At 45.7% G+C, this 23,418-nt stretch overlaps 1 protein-coding gene across 7 annotated transcripts, besides 3 other annotated features; it reads left to right on the top strand.

Annotated features, from left to right (window-relative positions):
* Positions 1,376-1,477: a silencer, noted in NCBI's record as "fragment chr6:107312640-107312741 (GRCh37/hg19 assembly coordinates)". NCBI's record gives its function as "represses an EF-1alpha promoter that drives an FKBP-Casp9 reporter gene in an ReSE screen in phorbol 12-myristate 13-acetate-treated (for megakaryocytic differentiation) K562 erythroleukemia cells {active_cell/tissue: K562(+PMA)}" and the evidence as "EXISTENCE:reporter gene assay evidence [ECO:0000049][PMID:32094911]".
* Positions 16,062-23,086, top strand: CD24 (CD24 molecule). 7 transcript variants are annotated; one of them, NM_001291738.1, is made up of 3 exons: positions 16,062-16,175; positions 18,163-18,339; positions 21,083-23,086. In NM_001291738.1, the coding sequence occupies exons 2-3, from the start codon at positions 18,271-18,273 to the stop codon at positions 21,254-21,256; spliced, it is 243 nt and encodes an 80-aa protein (NP_001278667.1). In that variant the 5' UTR covers positions 16,062-16,175; positions 18,163-18,270; the 3' UTR covers positions 21,257-23,086. The 7 variants fall into 7 exon arrangements, 5 of the variants coding, with proteins under 5 accessions (NP_001278667.1, NP_001278666.1, NP_037362.1 ...); NM_001291737.1 differs by lacking the exon at positions 16,062-16,175 and adding an exon at positions 17,290-17,548; NM_013230.3 differs by lacking the exon at positions 16,062-16,175 and adding an exon at positions 17,452-17,783.
* Positions 17,427-17,646: a silencer, noted in NCBI's record as "silent region_17435". NCBI's record gives its function as "represses an Ori minimal core promoter by ATAC-STARR-seq in GM12878 lymphoblastoid cells {active_cell/tissue: GM12878}" and the evidence as "EXISTENCE:reporter gene assay evidence [ECO:0000049][PMID:35858748]".
* Positions 17,687-17,836: a silencer, noted in NCBI's record as "silent region_17434". NCBI's record gives its function as "represses an Ori minimal core promoter by ATAC-STARR-seq in GM12878 lymphoblastoid cells {active_cell/tissue: GM12878}" and the evidence as "EXISTENCE:reporter gene assay evidence [ECO:0000049][PMID:35858748]".

The following is a 23,418-nucleotide window of genomic DNA, read 5'->3' as shown; positions in this document are numbered from 1 at the left end:
TTGACCCCAGGAGGCGGAGGTTGCAATCAGCCAAGATTGCGCCACTGCACTCCAGCCTGTGAACAGAGCGAGACTTTGCCTCAAAAAAAAAAAAAAAAAAAAAAGATTGCAAATGGAAGCAAAGATGCATGAGGATTAAAACACTGCAATCTTCAATGCTTGAACAACTAAAATAGGAGAAGCAGCATGTTTATGAAAGGAAAGGGGACACTTGCTGTTAGAGAATGTTGAGCCAAGGATGAAAGGGGAATATTCAGAGAGAAACATCCAGGAGGCAGGTGGTGACGTGGAGCTGGAAATTCCAATAAGAAGCTGGCATAGGTTTTGGGCTGTCCTTAGAGAGGTGACGGGAGAAAGCATGAGAAGAGATACATGAATATATCACGTGGACAATGGAAGCAAGTGAAGACCTGTATATGTAATTAATACTTGCTTTTTAAAATTTTTTTTTAATTTTAAATTTTTGTTTATTCTTTTTAAATAAAGATAGGGTTTCGCCATGTTGCCCAGGCTGGTTTTGAACTCCTGGGCTCAAGCAATCTGCCCGCCTCAGCCTCCCAAAGTGTTGGGATTATAGGTGTGAGCCACTGCATGCAGCCAATACTTGAATTGAGTTTGGGGTGGTACAGGAAGAGCTGGGAAGAACTGGAGTGAGCCACTGGCTTCAGGGGGGATGCTCAGGTTTTAGTGAGGAATGAGGTCCATCTGCAGACTCCTCTTCAGACTGCCACTCATGCTCAGGGGTCAGATCCTCCCTCCACTTGGGGTTTCTCACATAATCAGTCAAATGGGAAACTGGAGAATTGCTTGGAAAATATCCCCATCTGTGTCTCTGCTCTGAGCCTCCTGTTACTGGTAAAATGGCATGCAGGGAAAAGGATCGATTCTTTCTGTTGACTGGCTTAGAGTGGTCCTGCTATGAGTCAAGGGGAAAGGTGTGAGGGTATTTACCAAGATATCCTCCTGGGAGCCCTCTGATGTTACAGTCACCTGGCCTTTCTGTAAATGGCCTTTTTAAAACTATTTCTCTCAGCCTATAGGACTTGCCCATTAAGTCAGGGCAAGTATAAAGTAGAATTGTAAAAATAAATGCAAATAATATTTTCCAGCCTCTACTTGCTTTGAGGATCCAGATTTAAAATAATACTGGCTGGGTGTGGTGGCTCATGCCTGTAATCCTAGCACTTTGGGAGGCCGAAGTGGATAGATCACCTGAAGTCGGGAGTTCAAGACCAGCCTGGCCAACATGGTGAAACCCTGTCTCTACTAAAAATACAAAAATTAGCCGGGTGTAGTGGCGCATCCCTGTAATCCCAGCTACTCGGGAGACTGAGGAAGCAGAATCGCTTGAATCTGGGAGGTGGAGGTTGCAGTGAGCCAAGATCGTACCACTGCATTCCAGCCTGCGTGACATCTCAAAAATAAATAAAAATAATACCAATACATTCTTTATCTATTAGAGATGACAAGCCTGGGTACGGTGGCTCACATCTGTAATTCTAGCGCTTTGGGTGGCCAAAAGAGGTGGATCTCTTGAGCCCAGGAGTTCAAGACAAGCCTGAGAAATACAGAGACCCCTGTCTCTACAAAAAATACAAAAATTTGCCAGGTATGGTGGTATATGTCTGTAGTTCTAGCTACTTGGGAGGCTGAGGAGGGAGGATCACTTGAGCCTGGGAGGTGGAGGTTGCAGTAAGCCAAGATGGTGTCACTGCACTCCAACCTGGCTGACAGAGCGAGACGCTGTTTCAAAAATAAAACAAACAAACAAACAAACAACAACAAAAAGAAACAACAAAATGTTCTTAACCTACCATACCTTTATGCTTCTAGTTCTTTTGAGACTGAATTCTTTATAGAGACACATGATTGCTAAAACCAGTGTTTGGGTATCCTGTAATTCCCCAGATCTCTGGGTTTGGTCGATACAGAATAACACTGTTCAATATGGCAGCCACTAGCCAGTGGTTACTGAGTACTTGAAATGCGGCTGCTCTGACTTGAGATATGTATGTTGTAAATGGAGAACACACAGAACTGTACATCTTGAAGGCTTAATAAGTGTAGTAGACAGACTCTAAAATGACTCTCAATAATTTCTGCCTTCCGGTATTCACACCTCTGTGGAATCTCCTTCCCCTGAGTGTGGGCAGGAACAGTGATTTGCTTCTAATCAGTAGAATATGACAAAGATGATGGGATGCCACTTTCGTGATTATGTTACATATGATTGTAGCTTCCATCTTGTTGGAAAAAATGATTATGTTACATATGATTGTAGCTTCCATCTTGTTAGAAAAGTTTCTCGTTTTAAAAAAACATTTTTTAAAATGTTTACATTTTATTTTTATTTATTATTATTTTTTTTGTTTTGAGATGGAGTCTCATTCTGTCACCCGGGCTGGAGTGCAGTGGTGCGAGCTTGGCTCACTGCAACCTCCACCTCCTGGGTTCAAGTGATTCTTCTGCCTTAGCATTCCGAGTAGCTGGGATTACAAGCGCCCACCACTACGCCCAGCTAATTTTTTGTATTTTTAGTAGAGACGGGGTTTCATCATGTTGGCCAGGTTGGTCTCGAACTCCTGACCTCGTGATTCACCCCAAACTCCTGACCTCGTGATTCGCCCCCCTCTTGGCCTCCCAAAGTGCTGGGATTATAGGTGTCAGCCACTGTGCCTAGCCTTTTTTTTTTTTCTTTTTCTTTTTTTTTTTTTTTGAGACAGGGTCTTACTCTGTCCCCCAGACTGGAGTACAGTAGCATGATTTCAGTTCATTGCAACCTCTGCCTCCTGGGTTGAAGTGATCTTCCCATCTCAGCCCCCACAGTAGCTGAGACTACAGGCATGTGCCACCATGCCTGCCAATTTTTTTTTTTTTTTTTTTGAGACAGAGTTTTACTCTTGTTGCCCAGGCTGGAGTGCAATGGCACGATCTCAGCTCACCACAACCTCCGCCTCCTGGGTTGAAGCGATTCTGCTGACTCAGCCTCCTGAGGCTGAGTCTTTTTTAATATTGATGACTTGTTGAAATAATATTTTTAATATTTGAGTTAAATACAATATTTTATCAGACTTAATTTTATCTATTTCTTTTTACTTTTTTATGTGGTTACTAGAAAATTTAAAATTTACTTATTTATTTATTTTTGAGATGGAGTCTTGCTCTGTTGCCCAGGCTGGAGTGCAATGGCACCATCTTGGCTCACTGCAACCTCCACCACCCGGGTTCAAGCGATTCTCCTGTCTCAGCCTCCTGAGTAGCTGGGATTACAGGCACCCACCACCAAGCCTGGCTAATTTTTTTTATTTTTAATTTTTTTTTGTAGAGACAGGGTTTTACCATGTTGCCCAGGCTGGTCTGTAACTCCTGAGCTCAGGTGATTTGCCCACCTCAGCCTCCCAATGTGGTGGGATTACAGGCATGAGGCACGGTGCCCGGCTGAAAACTTAAAATGTAAAATCTTTGGTTTGCATTGTATTTCTATTGGCAATACTGGTATAGATCTCCAAGGAGACAAGAATTTCATGTAGCTTATATAGCTCAGCATACTAAAGGGAGTTGGCAATCACATCCTTAACATCACCCTCTCACTTACTAGGGCATGCTGTGCAAACAGAAAACACTCTACCACTTCTGGAAAAGAATGTTTCACTCTTTTTTAAGTTCGGTGAAGCTGCTGTATAATTTTTTTGCCCAAAGGTGAAATCTGCAGTCTTCTTACTTTTGAATACTGCCTTTAGGGTTTAATTGTTTCAAATTAACAGCAGGTGGCAGATGCAATTAAAGGGAAAAACACAATCGCAAATTAAGCATGATATTTTGAATTTCCTTATTTGCTACGGCAGCCACACATTCAGGGAATAAATGCTAATTATTTTGAATTATTTGTTTATGCATTGTCATATGTTTGCCTTTTACTGATTAATGCTCCACAACTTACGTTAAATCCTTTGTGGCTAATTAATAAAGCTGTAGTGGCATGACTAGCGACTCTGAACTCTAGAGGACTCTTTCACACAGGACACCATTACCCCAGTCCCATGGGAATTGCTGCTGTCCAAAGCAATTGATGCTAATGTAGGTTGCTACAACCCTCCAGTGTGTTAGGACAGAAAAAAGTGTAGAGAATAACTTTAATGGAGACATGTGGGTGCTCAGGGAAGGGTAACTAGTTGTTGCACCTTTAAATTTAAACCAGTATTTTAAAATATTTGTACCTTTCATTATTTATTTATTTATTTATCTTTTCGAGATGGAGTCTCACTCTATCACCCAGGCTGGAGTGCAGTGACGCAATCTCGGCTCACTGCAACCGCTGCCTTTTGGGTTCAAGCGATTGTCCTGCCTCAGCCTTTGGAGTAGCTGGGATTATAGGTGCACACCACCAAGCCTGGCTAATTTTTGTATTTTTAGTAGAGACAGGGTTTCACCATGTTGGCTAGGCTGGTCTGGAACTCCTGATCTCAGGTGATCTGCCCACCTTGGCCTCCCAAAGTGCTGGGATTACAGGCGTAAGCCACCACGCCTTGCCTGTACCTTTCTTTAGAGGAGAGTTTGAGAAGTTTAGAGAAGAGTGAGGAACTTCCAGCAGCAACGCCACTCAATATCTTCTCTATTGTCTCAAGCAATTTAGCCAGCAAAACAAAACAAATAACAAAACAATACTGTTTGATATTACTGCATCCAAGTACTTTCCCAAGTGTGTATCAAACATTCCTTCACACCACATATAGAATTCTCAAGAAAGAAGAATTTTAAAGAAAATATTGTCTTCATCTTATTTATAGTGGTGCTTTCGGGCCCCTTGGAGATTGGCACACTGGGCACTATTTGGCAGTCCTCACCCTTAATTTGACTCTGGACAGTCAGATGTGCAAGATCCTCACTCAGATGAATCTCTCATGAACACATTTCTTTCTTTCTTTTTTTTTTTTTTGAGATGGAGTTTTGCTCCTGTTGCCCAGGCTGGAGTGCAATGGCACAATCTTGGCTCACTGCAACCTCCACTTCCCAGGTTAAGGCGATTCTCCTGCCTCAGCCTTCCAAGTCGCTGGGATCACAGGCATGAGCCAGTGCACCTGGCTAATTTTGTATTTTTAGTAGAGATGGGGTTTTACCATGTTGGCCAGGCTGGTCTTGAACTCCTGACCTCAGGTGATCCACCTGCCTCAGCCTCCCAAAGTGCTAGGATTACAGGCGTGAGCCACTGTGCCCGGCCACGTTTCTCTTTTCTTTTCATTTACTTATTTTTATTCTTTTCTTTTTTCCCTCCCAGCTAGTGGATTTCAAACATTTTTTTTTCTTTTCTATTTTTTTTTTTTTGAGACAGAGTCTCGCTCTGTTGCCCAGGCTGGAGTGCAGTGGCGCAATCTCAGCTCACTGCAAGCTCCGCCTCCTGGGTTCACACCATTCTCCTGCCTCAGCCTCCCGAGTAGCTGGGACTACAGGCGCCCACCACCAAACCCGGCTAATTTTTTGTATTTTTAGTAGGGATGGGGTTTCACAGTGTTAGCCAGGATGGTCTCGATCTCCTGACCTCGTGATCCGCCCGCCTTGGCCTCCCAAAGTGCTGGGATTACAGGCATGAGCCGCCATGCCTGGCCTTTCTTTTCTATTTTAATATTAGGTTCAGGGGATAGGTGGGCAGGTTTGTTACTTGGGTAAACTGCTTGTTGCTGAGGATTGGCATACAAATTATCCTGTCACCAAGGTAGGGAGCATATTATCCCATAGGTAGCCTTCCAACCCCCACCCCTCCTCCTCCTCCTCCCTCAAGCCATCCCCAGTGTCCACTAACATGGGTTTTTGTTTTGTTTTTTGAGAAAGAGTCTCGCTCTGTTGCTCAGGCTGGAGTGCAGTTGTCCAATCATGGCTCACTGCAGCCTTGACCTCCTGGGTGCCAGTGATCCTCCTACATCAGCCTGTCAAGCAGCTGGGACTACAAGCACACAAGCACATTCCCCCACACTCGGCTAATTTTTTTTTTTTTTTGAGACGGAGTCTTGCTCTGTTGCCCAGGCTGGAGTGCAGTGGTGCGATCTCGGCTCACTGCAACCTCTGCCTCCTGGGTTCAAGTGATTCCACTGCCTCAGCCTCCTGAGTAGCTGGGACTACAGGTGTACACCACCACGCCAGGCTAATTTTTTGCATTTTAGTAGAGGCGGGGTTTCACTGTGTTGACTAGGATGGTCTCGATCTCCTGACCTTGTGATCCACCTGCCTCGGCTTCCCAAAGTGCTGGGATTGCAGGTGTGAGCCACCATGCCTGGCCACACTTGGCGAATTTATTATTATTATTATTTTTTTTTGAGATGGAGTCTCACTCTGTCACCAGGCTAGAGTGCAGTAGCATAATCTCGGCTCACTGCAACCTCTGCTTCCCGGGTTCAAGCAATTCTCCTGCCTCAGCTTCCCGAGTAGCTGAGACTACAGGCGCATGCCACCACACCCGGCTAGTTTTTGTATTTTTAGTAGAGACGGAGTTTCACCATGTTGGCCAGGATTGTCTTGATCTCTTGACCTCGTTATCCGTCCGCCTTAGCCTCCCAAAGTGCTGGGATTACAGGCGTGAGCCACCGCGCCTGGCCTTGGCTAATTAAAAAAATTTTTTTAAGTTTTATTTTTAGTAGAAACGAGGTTTATGCTGTCGTTCCCAAGCTGGTCTCAAACTTTTGAGCTCAAGCAATCCTCCCACGTTGGCTCACCAAAGTGCTGGGATTACCGGCATGAGCCACAGACCCAGCCCCGACAAACATATTTCTTGAAGGTGATTAAAGGCTAGGCGCCCGTGGCTCACACATGTGGTCTCAGCACTTCAGGAGGCTGAGGTGGGTGGATCCCTTGAGCTCAGGAGTTTGAGACCAGCCTGGCAAACATGTGAAACTCCATCTTTACAAAAAATAAAAAAATCAGCCCTGTGTAGTGGCACGTGCCTGTAGTCCGAGCTACTCGGGAGGCTGAGGTGGGAGATCACTTGAGCCCAGGAGGCGGAGGTTGCAGTGAGCCGTGACTGGGCTCCTGCACTCCAGCCTGGGTGACAAAGTAAGACCTTGTCTCAAAAAATAAAATGAAATGAAATAAAAAATAAACCAGAATACAGCATTTAAAAAATTAAAAAAAAAAGTGGTTAAGAGGACTGAGTTCATGTCTCAGCGTACCATATTCTGTAGTCACATTGTGTATTAAAAAATTTCAAAACTGAAGAGGTGTTCCTGGCCCCGCCAAGTTCCAGTATATATTCAGAGGAGTTTACAAGCAGAACTGTTTTAGCCTAAGTACATAAGACTGGTTATAGAGAGACCAGTAGACTTCTAGGTGTTCTGATCTCACCTTCATGCATGTAGATTTTATCATCTGCCCAGTGAAGATTTCAGGACCTGGAAACGCGTTCTGACTCTCCTGGAAAATACTGCATCTCTGTCTGCTTTGCAGCCTGACTGCAGTGACTTGATTCTACATCCTTCAGGTGTTTAGGCTCTATTGATCTAACCGAGAGACGCCTGGGTCTAGTTTCTTCTCACCCTGAGTGCACTCTGACATGTATCACTCCTACAGATGGGCAAAATTTATAAAGAACAATTTAATTCATAAAAGGAGACTCCAAATGGCTAATAAATGTCTGGAAAAAAGGTTAATCTCATTGATAGTAAACATACAATTAAAAATGAAATCTTTATCATGCCACTGCACTCCAGCCTGGGTGACAGAATGAGACCCGTCTCAAAATAAATAAATATAAAAATGAAATCTTTTTCTCCCATGAAATTAAAAAAATATATTTTGCACTTTAATTCTCATAGTTAGCAAAAGTTTGTGAATTAGACAATCTTCCACACTGCTGTTGTGAGTGTACATTTCTGGAGGACAATTTGGCAGTTTATATCAAGACCCAGACTTTCAATGTACGTGACATTTTCTAATTTATGTATTATTATAATTTTTATTTAATTAATTAATTTTTTTGAGACAAAGTCTCACTCCAGCCCAGGCTGGAGTGCAGTGGCACAGTCTCAACTCGCTGAAACCTCTGCCTCTCAGGTTCAAGCTATTCTCCCGCCTCAGCCTCCTGAGTAGCTGGGATTACAGGTGCACGCCATCACGCCGAGCTGATTTTTGTATTTTTAGTAGAGATGGGGTTTCACCATGTTGGCCAGGCTGGTCTTGAACTTCTGACCTCAGGTGATCCGCCTGCCTAGCCCTCCCAAAGTGCTGGGATTACAGGTGTGAGCCACCGTGCCTGCCCTATTTATTTTTATTTTATTTTTTTGAGACAGGATTTTTATTTTCTTTTTTTTGAGACAGGCTGAAGTGCAGTGGTGTGATCTTGCCTCACTGCAGCCTCGACCTTAGAAGTGTATTCTAAGAAAATAACCAGAAATAAAAGCAAAACATGTGTATAACAGTGTTTCTTATGAGATTATTTACAATAAGAGCAACTGTCCAAATAGAATATTGTATAGTCATTATGAAGTGTTTTTAGAAAACATGTAATGACCAATAAAAATACAGTAAAACCTGGCAAAAACTTTTTCCTAAGATAATGCAAATTCAGTTTGGCTACCATCCTCACCAGATCCCCTTCGCTAATGGGGTGCACTAAAGAAAGCTCTTATCTTCTAGGATGTGGGGAATGCAGAAAGAGGACAAGGCGAGTCGGGGAAAACAGAAATCCCTTCTAGAAAGCAAGGAAGCAAGGAGTTCTGCCCCAGGGTTCTCCTAGCTCCAAGAGATTACAAGCCTTGCCACTGCGGTCCTGGAGGTCCTGTCAACCCCGAACCCAGAATCACCTCCACTGATAGGTGGTGGAGATAAATGCCACCAGGGGCCTCAAACTGGAGCCAGGACCTGGTTGGATCTGGACATTGCAGAAATTCTGGCTGACCACCTGCATAAGCCAACCCAGATATTTCGTTAACTTTGTAGGAATGTGACCATGAATTTTGTGATTAATTTTTTAAATGTTTTCTATTATGTAAAAAAAAAAAAGCAAGATAGAAAACTTTATGGGCCTGCCTTGGTGGCTCATGTCTGTAAGCTCAGTACTTTGGGGGGCCAAGGCAGGCAGATCGCTCAGATCGCTTGAGCTCAGGAGTTCAAGACCAGCCTGAGCAACACGGTGAAACCCTGTCTCTACAAACAAACCAACAAACAAAAAAAATTAGCTGGGTGCGGTAGTGTGCACCTGTAGTCCCAGCTACCTGGGGGGCTGAGGCAGGAGGATAGCTTGAACCCAGGAGGCTGAGGCTGCGGTGAGCTGAGATCACACCACTGCACTTCAGCCTGGGTGACAAAGTGAGACCCTGTCTCAAAAAAATAAAATAAAATAATAAATAAATAAGAAAACTTCACGTACATTTGCTCCTACTTCAGCAAAACAAATAAACAAGCAAACTCTCTTTCTCTACATATATGTGAAAAGAATATATTTTAAAATGTTATTAGTGATTGCCTCTGATTAGTGGGCTATGGGTAATTTTATTTTTTAAAAATTTATCCTTATTTATTTATTTATTTCACTCGAGATGGGGGTCTTGCTATGTTGCCCAGGCTGGTCTTGAACCCCTGGGCTTAAAAAATCCTCCCACCTTGGCATCCCAAAGTGTTAGAATTACAGGCATAAGCTACCACCCCCGACCTGGCTATGGGTAATTTTAATATTTTTATTTTAATATTTTTATTATGCTTTTCTGCATTTTCCAAAAAAAATTTTTTTTTCTTTTTCTGTCGAGACAGGGTCTCTCTCTGTCACCCAGGCTGGAGTCCAAGCAAGCTGGAGTGCTGTGGCACAATCATGGCTCACTGCAGCCTCGACATCCTGTGCTCAAGTGATCCTCCTGCCTCAGCCTCCCAACTACAGGCATGTGGGACCAACCCAGCTATTTTTAAAATTTTTTCGTAGAGATAGGGCCTCCTTATGTTGCCCAGGCTGGTCTTGAACTCCCAGGCTCAAGAAGTCCTCCTGCCTTGGCCCCACAAAGTGCTGGGATTACAGGTGCAAGCCACCACACCCAGCCCAAATTTTTCTATACTGCACGTGTATTACTTTTATAATATGAACAAGAAAAAATATACAAAAGAACATTGAAGGCTGGGCATGGTGGCTTACGCCTGTAATCCCAGCACTTTAGGAGGCAGAGGCAGGTCGATCACCTGAGGTCAGGAGTTCGAGACCAGCCTGGCCAACATGGCGAAACCCTGTCTCTACTAAAAATACAAAAAAATTAGTCGGGTGTGGTGGCAGGTGCCTGTAGTCCCAGCTACTTGGGAGGCTGAGGCAGGAGAATTGCTTGAACCTGGGAGGCAGAGGTTGCAGTGAGCTGAGATGGTGCCATTGCACTCCAGCCTGGGAGGCAGAGGTTGCAGTGAGCTGAGATGGTGCCATTGCACTCCAGCCTGGGAGGCAGAGGTTGCAGTGAGCTGAGATGGTGCCATTGCACTCCAGCCTGGGAGGCAGAGGTTGCAGTGAGCTGAGATGGTGCCATTGCACTCCAGCCTGGGAGGCAGAGGTTGCAGTGAGCTGAGATGGTGCCATTGCACTCCAGCCTGGGAGACAGAGCGAGACACCTCAAACAACAACAACAACAACAACAAAGAATATTGAGAGAAAGTTTTTTCTTTTTTAAAAGTGGAGACAGGGTCTTGCTATATTCCCAAGGCTGGTCTCAAACTCCTGGCTTCCAGTGCTCCTCCTTGCCTTGGCCTCCCAAAGCGCTGGGATTAGAGGCGTGAGTCACCATGCCTGGCCAAGTTGTTTCTTTTTTAACTCTGAGATCTACATACAAATATATGGTTCACAACAGAGAAGTCCTTATTCAACCGAGCTAATTAAATTCATATGTTCTCCTTTTATTGGCTGACTATTACAGAATACTTTTTCCTCAGAGTGACATCTTAAAACTATATTGAATAAGATGTCAGCCAGCATCTGCTTTAGATATTATTGAGTGGAATCTTGGAAAAAGTATGTTAACAGATTTAGAAAGGATTTCACGAAGTCTGAAAATGTGATCCCTGTTTCAAGTTCAATGTAACATTTCATTAAGTATACCATTGTGAGGCTGGGCGCGGTGGCTCACGCCTGTAATCCCAGCACTTTGGGAGGCCGAGGCGGGCAGATCATGAGGTCAGGCGTTCGAGACCATCCTGGCTAACACGGTGAAACCTCGTCTCTACTAAAAATACAAAAAAAATTAGCCAGGTGTGATGGTGGCACACGCCTGTAGTCCCAGCTACTCGGTAGGCTGAGGCAGGAGAATTGCTTGAACCTGGGAGGCGGAGGTTGCAGTGACCTGAGATCGCACCCCGCACTCCAACCTGGATGACAGAGCGAGACTCCATCTCAAAAAAAAAAAAAAAAGTATATGGGTATAAAATATACATATACTTTTCCACTCTTCCAATTTCATTATTTCCCAGCAAAGAATCATTCAGGATCTGCCTGCAAATGGCAAATGATGTAGCACTTTTGTGGTCTGAAGACTCTTTTCTAGGAGGTAGAAGTGGGATTTCGCTTCTGCTAGAACTTAATTACCCCAATTAGGCCTGGACTCTGCCTCCTGCACAGGGGTGGAAGGGGGCTCTTAGAAAGGTCCTACTTATGGGATGAGCCCACCCAGCTCAGGCCATTCTCTGAGGCAAACTCTGCCCACCGGAGGCTTTCCTCCCCCATAGCCTTTATAACTTGAGGCTCCGGAAGGAAGAACAAAATGTGGAAACTGATGCGATGCCAAGCGATTTCTCATGATTTTTTCTGCAGCTGGGTTCTTCATTTTTCTTCACTTTTACTGAAACATTTTTTGTGTGTGCCATCTGGACTGAGAGAATTTGGTCTCACAGTTGTCATAGATGGATGAATTGAGGCAAAATCAAATTTCTGCTTGAGAACTTGCCAGTGATGGGAGGAGGGCTCCTGATGAGGAGGAGGGTGATTCTGAGGCCTTGGGGGCTGGAGAGAGTTCCTTTGCACATATTTGCTTTGTGGGAGTTGGGTAGGTAAAGGCCACAGAGTATATTGACTTATTAACTTATTTAAATTACTTTATTTGTGAATGAGTGATGGTACAAGCTAACGTGATGAAAAATGCATCTCATTCTCGTGTGCCCTGGCCACCCAGTTTCTCTTCTCAGTGGCCAAGACAATTTCTTGTGTATCTCTTTGGAAATACTTTCTCTGTCAGGTTTTTGTTTTTTATTCTTAAAATTTATTATTTATTTATTTTTTGAGACAGGGTCTCGTTCTTTGCCCAGGCCAGAGTGCAGTGGTACCACCTTAGCTCATTGCAGCCTCAAACTCCTGGGCTCAAGTAATCCTTCTGCCTCAGCCGCCCAAAGTGCTGGGATTACAAGTGTGAGCCACCCCCGGCCAGTTTTGGTTTTTTAAACACAAAGTACCATGCTGTACACACAGTTATGTATCTTGCTTTTTTCACTTAAGAATTTATCTTGGATTTTCCCCTGTAGGATAGATTATGTTCCTTTACTCTTTTTAATGACTTCATAATATTTCATGATATGACAGTGCTGCAACAAATCCCTGAACATACATTATTCTGCATTTGTAGAAATTTATCTGTAGGTTAAATTCTTTTTTTTTTTTTGTCACCCAGGCTGGAGTGCAGTGGCATGATCTCGGTCCACTGCAACCTCTGCCTCCTGGGTTCAAGCAATTCTCCTGTCTCAGCCTCCCAAGTAGCTGGGATTACAGGCATGTGCCACCATGCCTGGCTAATTTTTGTATTTTTAGTAGAGACAACGTTTCACCATGTTGGCCAGGCTGGTCTCAAACTCCTGACCTCAGGCGATCTGCCCGCCTCGGCCTCCCAAAGTGCTAGGATTACAGGCATGAGCCACTGCGCTCGGCCAGGTTAAATTCTTAAAATAAGGAGAATGTGCATTTTTAATACTGAGAGATGTCAAATTCCTTTCCATAATCCCATCAGCATCGACGAGAAAGACTTTTCTTGCATCCTTGCCAATACAAGGGAGACACCAAATTTAAATTCTGGCAAAAGAGATTAAGAGTTGCTTCTTTCTTTTATTTCAAACACCACAGGATGCTTAGAGGTAAGCATCCTATTATTCAATTTGCATCTGAAAACAGTCACAATTCTTTCTCTTTACATTTGTTTTCTGGTCTCAATGAGGGTTAAGAGAATTTGAGTGACTCTACAGGGGGAAAAAGGAAGTAACAGTCAAAGAAAATCATCGTGGTTTATTAGCTTTATAAGGATTCCAAAATGCAGGGCTTTTTACATTCAGCACGAGTTGTTTTTGTTTTCCTGACAGTGAGCGCGTAAGGTCCCAGTGGCCAGCAGGGGGCAGCACGTCCACACAGAGAGTCCGGCTGGGACGCCACCAGCTGATTGAACATGCTGCAGCTACTGGACCTAGGACCTCATCAGTCAGAAATGCAAACTCACTTTGGTACCTTCACTGCCTTCTCATGATTGGCAGTGAAGAACAAAGCTCCACTGAAAGACCCGGATAAATGGAAATATTCCATTTATGCCAACCAAGTGCAGGGTGGCACAGAATTAAGAGGGAAAAGAGGGCCGGGCGCGGTGGCTCACACCCAAATCCCAGCATTTTGGGAGGCCAAGGCGGGCAGATCACAAGGTGAGGAGTTCCAGACCAGCCTGACCAACATGGTGAAACCCCGTCTCTACTAAAAATACAAAAATTAGCCGGGCGTAGTGGCGCGCGCCTGTAGTCCCAGCTACTCAGGAGGCTGAGGCAGGAGAATCACTTGAACCTGGAAGGCGAAGGTTGCAATGAGCCGAGATCACGCCACTGCACTACAGCCTGGGCGACAGAGTGAGACTCCATCTCAAAAAAAAAGAGTATTATGAACACAACTAAGAATTGCATCATGTTGTAGAACAGAATTTATATTAAATATTTGATTATTCCAGCCACTATTTGTGCTATAAAGCACAGATGGAACACCTTTATTGGATTCACATTATATTTCATACCTATTTTGCCAAAAGTGCTAAAAATGTCAAATAATTAACCCCTGTGTCTTCTGTTCCTCTAGAAACAGGATTTACTATTTTATCTTAAAAAGCAAATTAACCTGTTTCCTTAATATTAGTCCATTCAACCAGCAAGGACTGATTGCATGCCAGGTGCAGTGGATATTGGGTAGGCAAGACATAGTCTCTCGGGAGGCTAAGACAGGAGAATGGCTTGAACCAGGGAAGTGAAGGTTGCAATGAGCCACTGCACTCCGTCCTGAGTGACGGAGTGAGGCCCTGTCTACAAAAAAAAAAAAAAAAAAAGAGAAAGTGGTGGTGCAGGATTCAAATCCATATTTGACCCCAGAATCCACTATGTGCTATGCCAGTCTGGTCTCAGGTCTGCCCTTAGAAATTGTAGGCATTTTCCGGGCACGGTGGCTCATGCATGCAATCCCAGCACTTTGGGAGACTGAGGCGGGCGGATCACCTGAGGCCAGGAGTTCGAGACCAGCCTGGTCAACATGGTGAAACCCTGTCTCTACTAAAAAAATATAAAAATTAGCCAGGCATGGTGGCAGGCACCTGTAATCCCAGCTACTTGGGAGGCTGAGGCAGGAGAATCGCTTGAACCTGGGAGGCAGAGGTTGCAGTGAGCCGAGATCGTGCCATTGCACTCCAGCCTGGGAAACAAGAGCAAGACTTCGTCTCCAAAAAAAAAAAAAAAAGAAAAGAAATTGTAAGCATTGCTCCTCCCTCAGTATTCTCAGAAGAGAACCAGCATCAAATGAGGGAGTTTTTCATACTATCTCATGAAAGCTATGAAAACTGAAAGTTATAACTTTCCACACATACATCAATTTATGCAATCAATCTGTTTCAAAATCATTCTATACCACACTTTCTCTATAAAATGGAAATTGGCCATGTGTCTCAACAAAAAGTTCAGGATAACTGGTAAGAGTCTCAATTTGTTAGTGGCGTGAGTTATTATTGGCTAAGGTTTTTTTTTTTTTTTTTGAGACAGAGTCTTGCTCTGTCATCCAGGCTGGAGTGCAGTGGCACGATCTTGGGTCACTGCAACCTCCGCCTTCTGGGTTCAAGCGATTCTCCTGCCTCAGCCTCCCGAGTAGCTGGGACTACAGGCGTGTGCCACCATGCCCAGGTAATTTTTTGTATTTTTAGTAGAGACGGGGTTTCATCATGTTAGCCAGGATGGTCTCGATCTCCTGACCATGTGATCTGCCTGCCTCGGCCTCCCAAAGTGCTGGGATTATAGGCGTGAGCCACTGCACCCAGCCGTGGCTCAGGTTTTATTAGCAAACAAACTATGAAAAACCAGGAGAAGTGGATAAAGAATAGGAAGAAAGAATCACAAGCCAAAAGAACTGCAAAGGAAAAATCAGGCAGTTTTCTTGAGTTTCTAGCTGTACAGGAAAAGGGTAGGGTGGAGACCTGTAAAGAGAAGTATCTTACCTGTGTTGGGCCTCCAGTTGTCAAAGTCCTGGGCAACACCCCCGGTAGGATGCCCAGGGGGAACTCCTGGGCAGAGGTGAAGGGCTTTGCTACGTGAATTATCCAGTCTCATTAGCTGGTGATGAAATGGTTCACAAAGCACAGATTCTGAGTGCCTTGCCAGTTTTGGGAATTATTTGGAGACTGATATTCTTTCACGTATCACACAGTGGCAGAGAAGGTAATTACCTTCTGGTTGCTGGCACCTTCAGTGGAAGAGCAAATATTAAGTGAGAGCTACTACTCTGAGGCAGGCAGTATTCTAACACTTATATATACAATAACTCTTTAATAACTAATTAGTAATGATGTTATTATCTCCATTTTATAGATGAAGGAACTGAGGCTTTTTGTCTCCAGCAAAATTAGCAGAGCCACGGTTTGAACTCTGGCAGTCTGTCTTTAGAGGCTGTCTTATCCTAGGAATACCACCAGTTAGTTCAACAAGCAGCTTGTGGAGGACATAGTATGTTCCTTGCCTTGGAACCCGGCACTCCTGAGTCACAAACAGTCCATTTTTTTCACCCGGAAAAGGAATGGAGAAGCTGGGCCAGACTATTTCTTTTTTCTTTTTTTTTTGAGACAGAGTTTTGCTCTTGTTGCCCAGGCTGGAATGCAATGGCCTGATCTCTGCTCACTGCAACCTCCACCTCTCAGGTTCAAGCTATTCTCCTGCCTCAGCCTCCCAAGTAGCTGGGATTACAGGTATGAGCAACCATGCATGGCTAATTTTGGATTTTTAGTAGAGACTAAATTTTAGTAGAGACTAGATTTTAGGTTTCACCATGTTGGTCAGGTTGGTCTGGAACTCCTGACCTCAGGTGATCAGCCCTCCTCAGCCTCCTAAAGTGCTGGGATTATAGGTGTGAGCCACCACGCCCGGCCAAAGTATTTCTATATAATGTGGTACACTGTTAAACAGGAAAGTCCACTGGTGCTCGACAGAAATTCTTGTGTTCCCAAGCACATCTTAAACGTGCTTGGAAAGTTACTGAGCTAAAGTGACTGACCTTGAAGGCACAAACCAATTCAGTCACTATTCAGTCAACAAACCTACTGCAGATTTCATTGTCACTTTGCTTCCCTGAAACTTACTTTGTTTTAATGAGACTGCCACGCAAAAGTGAAATTTAGACAAATTTAGAATCTTACTACTCTGTGGTTTACTTTAAAGACCGAAAAATGCTTGGGCTAAACCTTAAATAAAAGTATTAAGTCTTGCAATTAAAAATTGAACCAAAAATACTAACGAGAGTGTTCTGCAAAACTGAAATTTAAACAAATTTACAACCATACTAGGTTTGGTCTCTGCTGTTTGCTTTAAAGACTGAAAAACACTTGGGCTAAACCTTCAATAAAAAGATTAAGTCTTGCAATTAAAATTTAAACTCAAAATACTCCACCAGTAAAATTACTTCAACTTTTGTTGTATGCTTGAAAGTTTTCACAATAAGATGGATAGGAAAAAAGTATTCCACCAAAATCTAAAGAGTGATGACGAATCTCCTCTTTGTGCCGGTTCATTAAATTGCCTAATGGCAACTACGGATAAGTAAATGCCTTTATCTCGAACGGTTCTGCTCTTTAAACGAATGACGGGCAACAGAGACCGAAAAAGTGTATCCCCAGGAATTCGAGAGGGACGGTGAATTGTAGTGGGACCGCCAGGAGGGGAGGTTCCTGCCCCCGAGTAGAACCTGGGAGCAGAGCCGCTCGGGGAGGGCGGTGGGGGCTTCAGGGCCGCGGAGGGGGTCCCCTCAGGGTGGGCCGTCTCCTCCTCGCCCGCCGCAGGCAGGAGCGCGGGGGACCGAAACCCTGTAGTTTGCAGCGTCAGGCAGCGGGTCTGCGCCCAGCGAGCGGCTCCCCAGCTCCTGGGAAGATGCGGACCCGGGACGCCCCCGTGAGCTCACTGCGCCTGGCTGACACGAGGCGCTCACAGAACAAAGCAAGGGCTTCGGGGAGGGCGCGGCCGCGGGGCCGAGCGCGCAGATCGCTCCGGACCCGGACACCGCCTGCGAGGAGCGCCGACCAGCCGGGAAGGGTTCGCGCTAGGCGGCGCCCGGGTCCCGTCGGCCAGGGTGAGCGTCCGGCCCGCGTCCGCGCCACGCCCGCCGCGTTCCCCTTTCCTCTGCGGCGGGCCGAGAGATAACCCTGCCCGAGGGGTCCCGGCGCCCGCCCCCCACGCGGTCGCACTGGAATTCGCAGCCCCTCTCGGGTCCCCGGGGCGCATTTTGCAGTCTGAGTGGCAATGCACTTGCTCCAGGACAGGCGGCTACCCCGCCGCAGCGGAGGCGCGGACTTTTCTTTTGGGGGGTAAGATGGCAGGTCCCGGGAAACAAAGGAAACTTGGGCCCGGCCCCCAGCGCGGCGTGTGTGGCTCGCGTGTGTGCCCCGGGTCCTGTGCCGGAGGCGCTGGGCGCCTGTGCCAGCCTGCCCGCAGCCCGCAGCCGGCGCGGGGATACCAGCCGGGTACCAGCAGCCGGCGGCGCCCGCCCACCTGCAGCGGCGCCCGCCCGGGGGGCTCCCGGCCCGCGAGGGCCGGAGCGGCGGTGGCAGTGGCGGCGGCGGCGGGGGCGCTGGGGAACCCGGAGCGGGGCGGGGAAGGCGGGGAGGCGGCGGGCGGCGGCGGAGGGGAGCCGGGGTGGGCGGGCGGCGCCACGTCACGGCTATTGTGGCTTTCCTGGTATATAAGGTCTCGCCGGCTCGCCGCGCTCCCCACCTTGCCTGCGCCCGCCCGGAGCCAGCGGTTCTCCAAGCACCCAGCATCCTGCTAGACGCGCCGCGCACCGACGGAGGGGACATGGGCAGAGCAATGGTGGCCAGGCTCGGGCTGGGGCTGCTGCTGCTGGCACTGCTCCTACCCACGCAGGTGAGGCCCTGGCGCCCGGCGGGGCTCGAGGGCCGTTCCCGGGGTGGGGGCAGGGGAGATGGACCCGGTCCCGGGGGACCGTCCTGCGCTCCTGCCTCGGGCCACGGACAGGGACCGGGAGAGAATCTTGCTTAGCTGACCAGGGGAGAGGGCCATGTGGACCCCATTTTTCCATTCCCTTGCGTGCTGCCCCCCCTCCTCCCACGGCCCTGGGAACAATGCAGCTCCGCGTGCGGGCTGAGAGGACCCTGCCCCACCCCAGGTTCCACGCTGTCCCTTCCCAGGCAGCCAGGTGACTACTTCCCACTTTCACCCAGAGGCCCGAGGTGCCTGCAGGGATTAGCGCCTGGAGAGCTCGGGCTCCCTGGGGACGTTGTCCCTGGGTCCCTGAGGACTCGCTTTCCCCTAGGAATGTCTTCGCGCTCCCCGCGCTCTACACAAAGAGAGGCGACGGTCCCTTTCGGGGAGGGCGGCTCACGCCCATCCTCCACCCTCGGAGTTGGATTGGGTATCCCGGAGAAGCTACGGCTATCTGGCCCTTTTTAAACAAACCCCGGTTCCGGGCTGAAGCCGAGGCGGGGACCCTCTCCTGACGCTGCGCTCTCTGCGAGGCAACCTTTCACGTCCATCGCTTGTCATCTTAGGATCCCCATGTTATTTTAGCCCAGATTGGCTAGTTCTGGGGAGGCAGCATGGTGGGACGATTCTGTCCCGAGTCCCCGCCAGGCTTTGTTCGGGTCGCCGCTACCAGCGCGGTCTCCCTAGATCCTCCATCCGGGGAACCTCGCCCCGGGTGCGGGTACCCGGGGCCGCGCAGCGCTGCCTCGAGGGTGTATGGATGCACCGCGCCGGCGAGAGAGACCGGGGGCTGGGCCTGGGAGACCCTAGCGGGGGCGGGGGCGAAGAAGGTACGTTTGTTTGGGTCAGTTCGGGTTTGGAGGATGGGAGTGACGGCTCTCCAGCGCCTTCGATTGGGGTTAATCGAGGACTGTCACTGGGGCTTCTCCCCCAAAGTTGGGCGCGCTGCGTCCTCCGTCCCCAGACATCGAAAGTCCGGGCTCACCTGGGAGTGCAGCCTGAGTGTGGAACGCGCTTCCCCACCGCTGGCGGGGTAACCGTACCCTATTGTCTTCCTCCCAGTCCGCTGCGCTCCCGAGCCTTCCTCAATTCTTTGATGGGGGAGGGGCGCGGCTGCGAGAAACCGGCCCCCTCCACTCCCCGCCCCATCTTCTCTCCGACCAGATTTTTTTCCTCCAACATTGTAAGTGAGAAGTTTTAATAATGCGAATAAATCTAGCTTGGGAGAGAAAATTTTGTTTAGTGTCAGTTTAATAAACATAATTTTTTTGTTGGTGTAGAGGATCTTTAGATCCTCAGATTGATACACCAGGTTTTAAAAAGAAAACATCACCTGCTGCAGTAAAACTCATTGCATGAATAAAGAACAGGTTACTTTGCGGGATCCCAAACAAGGTGTCCAAAACAGGCACCCTGTTTTAAGTAAATTACCATATTAATGCTTTTCTTTATTGGGAGTGCCGTTTCCTGATGGGACACACTAAATCTTGCACACAGTAGGTGCCCGATAAATAAATTTGACTTGATCAAGATTTTTTTGTTGTTGTCACTAATCTATTTTGGATAGGATTTGTACATTTCTGTAGTCAATATTTGTTTAATGACCTTATGGATTTTACAACAAAAGGAGCTGGTGCTGATGTAGGAGGGCTTTATCTTTGGATTAATAGGCAGCCAAATGTACACGGGGCCCAGACTCTTGCCTGGTGCCACGTCCTCCCTCCAGCCTGTAATCAGAAGCTCTTGTAAACCCTCCCTTGCAGTGAGGGCTGAAAACTCCGATCTGCCTTTGTTCCATGACAAAGGAGAGATTATCACGTGCCCTACTGGACTGTGCATTTCGTGGCTTGAAAAATCAGTGGTGAATGATGCCACTCAGACGCTGGGACACTGGGAGAACCTTGGTTCTTGGCCACAGCAATGAGCTTGGCGACCAGTGAGGCTGCTGCTGGTGAAACTTAACACCATAACCTCTCGTTGTCTTTTGTGAAATCGTTCCGACTTCATGGTGTTTTCTTGAAGTCATTCTGCCTTAAAGGAAAAACTCATTTTCTTTTTCAATTTAACACAAATATTGTGGCCATTTTTTAGAAGAGTTACTATTTCAAATTTCAAGGGAGAAGATAAGACTGCATTTCCCCCTTAAGGAAAAGGCTAAGTTACCAAGGCTGTATTAAATTGAGTATGTGAAAGTTACCTAGCAAATCCAGGATAGACAGTGACCCAATGAATTCTAGTTCCATAAGTCTCAGTTACAATATTTAAAAATCCCCATTTTTTTGTGCAACTTTAAAATCTCCCCCTTTCTGGGAAAATAGACCTTATTGCAATGCCATTAAGTCAATATAATCTTGGAAACTGAATTAGTTAACCTGGTCCTTTTTTCCTTTGCAAAGAAATAAAAACAGGAGTTATAGTTATTGAATAACTTTTTTGTTCTTGTTGCCACTTGGCATTTTTGAGGCATCTCTAGGTAGTTTGTTTTGAAACTAAAGAGAATGACCTTGGTGGGTTGAGCAAGAATTCAGAAGTTAATGATGTTGGGTAAGAGAACAATGGTAAGAGAGCAATCTAAGAATATATCACCTACTTTAATTTTATATGAGAGTACATGGAGGTAGCTGTGATGTGGAAATGTATCCATGTAACTTTTTATGTATTTTAGATTTATTCCAGTGAAACAACAACTGGAACTTCAAGTAACTCCTCCCAGAGTACTTCCAACTCTGGGTTGGCCCCAAATCCAACTAATGCCACCACCAAGGCGGCTGGTGGTGCCCTGCAGTCAACAGCCAGTCTCTTCGTGGTCTCACTCTCTCTTCTGCATCTCTACTCTTAAGAGACTCAGGCCAAGAAACGTCTTCTAAATTTCCCCATCTTCTAAACCCAATCCAAATGGCGTCTGGAAGTCCAATGTGGCAAGGAAAAACAGGTCTTCATCGAATCTACTAATTCCACACCTTTTATTGACACAGAAAATGTTGAGAATCCCAAATTTGATTGATTTGAAGAACATGTGAGAGGTTTGACTAGATGATGGATGCCAATATTAAATCTGCTGGAGTTTCATGTACAAGATGAAGGAGAGGCAACATCCAAAATAGTTAAGACATGATTTCCTTGAATGTGGCTTGAGAAATATGGACACTTAATACTACCTTGAAAATAAGAATAGAAATAAAGGATGGGATTGTGGAATGGAGATTCAGTTTTCATTTGGTTCATTAATTCTATAAGGCCATAAAACAGGTAATATAAAAAGCTTCCATGATTCTATTTATATGTACATGAGAAGGAACTTCCAGGTGTTACTGTAATTCCTCAACGTATTGTTTCGACAGCACTAATTTAATGCCGATATACTCTAGATGAAGTTTTACATTGTTGAGCTATTGCTGTTCTCTTGGGAACTGAACTCACTTTCCTCCTGAGGCTTTGGATTTGACATTGCATTTGACCTTTTATGTAGTAATTGACATGTGCCAGGGCAATGATGAATGAGAATCTACCCCCAGATCCAAGCATCCTGAGCAACTCTTGATTATCCATATTGAGTCAAATGGTAGGCATTTCCTATCACCTGTTTCCATTCAACAAGAGCACTACATTCATTTAGCTAAACGGATTCCAAAGAGTAGAATTGCATTGACCACGACTAATTTCAAAATGCTTTTTATTATTATTATTTTTTAGACAGTCTCACTTTGTCGCCCAGGCCGGAGTGCAGTGGTGCGATCTCAGATCAGTGTACCATTTGCCTCCCGGGCTCAAGCGATTCTCCTGCCTCAGCCTCCCAAGTAGCTGGGATTACAGGCACCTGCCACCATGCCCGGCTAATTTTTGTAATTTTAGTAGAGACAGGGTTTCACCATGTTGCCCAGGCTGGTTTCGAACTCCTGACCTCAGGTGATCCACCCGCCTCGGCCTCCCAAAGTGCTGGGATTACAGGCTTGAGCCCCCGCGCCCAGCCATCAAAATGCTTTTTATTTCTGCATATGTTGAATACTTTTTACAATTTAAAAAAATGATCTGTTTTGAAGGCAAAATTGCAAATCTTGAAATTAAGAAGGCAAAAATGTAAAGGAGTCAAAACTATAAATCAAGTATTTGGGAAGTGAAGACTGGAAGCTAATTTGCATTAAATTCACAAACTTTTATACTCTTTCTGTATATACATTTTTTTTCTTTAAAAAACAACTATGGATCAGAATAGCCACATTTAGAACACTTTTTGTTATCAGTCAATATTTTTAGATAGTTAGAACCTGGTCCTAAGCCTAAAAGTGGGCTTGATTCTGCAGTAAATCTTTTACAACTGCCTCGACACACATAAACCTTTTTAAAAATAGACACTCCCCGAAGTCTTTTGTTCGCATGGTCACACACTGATGCTTAGATGTTCCAGTAATCTAATATGGCCACAGTAGTCTTGATGACCAAAGTCCTTTTTTTCCATCTTTAGAAAACTACATGGGAACAAACAGATCGAACAGTTTTGAAGCTACTGTGTGTGTGAATGAACACTCTTGCTTTATTCCAGAATGCTGTACATCTATTTTGGATTGTATATTGTGTTTGTGTATTTACGCTTTGATTCATAGTAACTTCTTATGGAATTGATTTGCATTGAACACAAACTGTAAATAAAAAGAAATGGCTGAAAGAGCAATCTTGCATTTTAAGTTTTTCCAGTATGAGGAATACTTTGTGGGTAATCATGGTTCTATGAGCCTGTTAAAATTTTTAAAAATAATTAAAAACAAATTTTTGGGAATTTTTTTTTTTTTTTTTTTTTTTTTTTTTTGTGGACACAGGGTTTCATCATGTTGCCCAGGCTGGTCGTGAACTCCTGGGCTCCAGTGATCTTCCTGCCTTGGCTTCCCAAAGTGTTGGGATTACAGGCATGAGCCACCACGCCTGGCCCCCTAAGTCTATTAATTTAAACCATAGGGATATACCTCAGTATTTTTCTCTTTCTTTCTTTCTCTTTTTTTTTTTTTG

This window comes from Homo sapiens, chromosome 6, assembly GCF_000001405.40.
Source record: "Homo sapiens chromosome 6, GRCh38.p14 Primary Assembly".
In the NCBI taxonomy this organism is placed as follows: Eukaryota; Metazoa; Chordata; class Mammalia; order Primates; family Hominidae; genus Homo; species Homo sapiens.
This window is presented reverse-complemented; position numbering and strand designations above follow the sequence as displayed.

Bases quoted from the DNA above. Each gene is read 5' to 3' on its own strand.
- CD24 (NM_001291739.1), top strand. From the start codon at position 19,032: ATGGTGGGACGATTCTGTCCCGAGTCCCCGCCAGGCTTTGTTCGGGTC. The intron at 19,248-21,082 runs GTACGTTTGTTT...TATGTATTTTAG, and splicing joins CGGGGGCGGGGGCGAAGAAG to ATTTATTCCAGTGAAACAAC.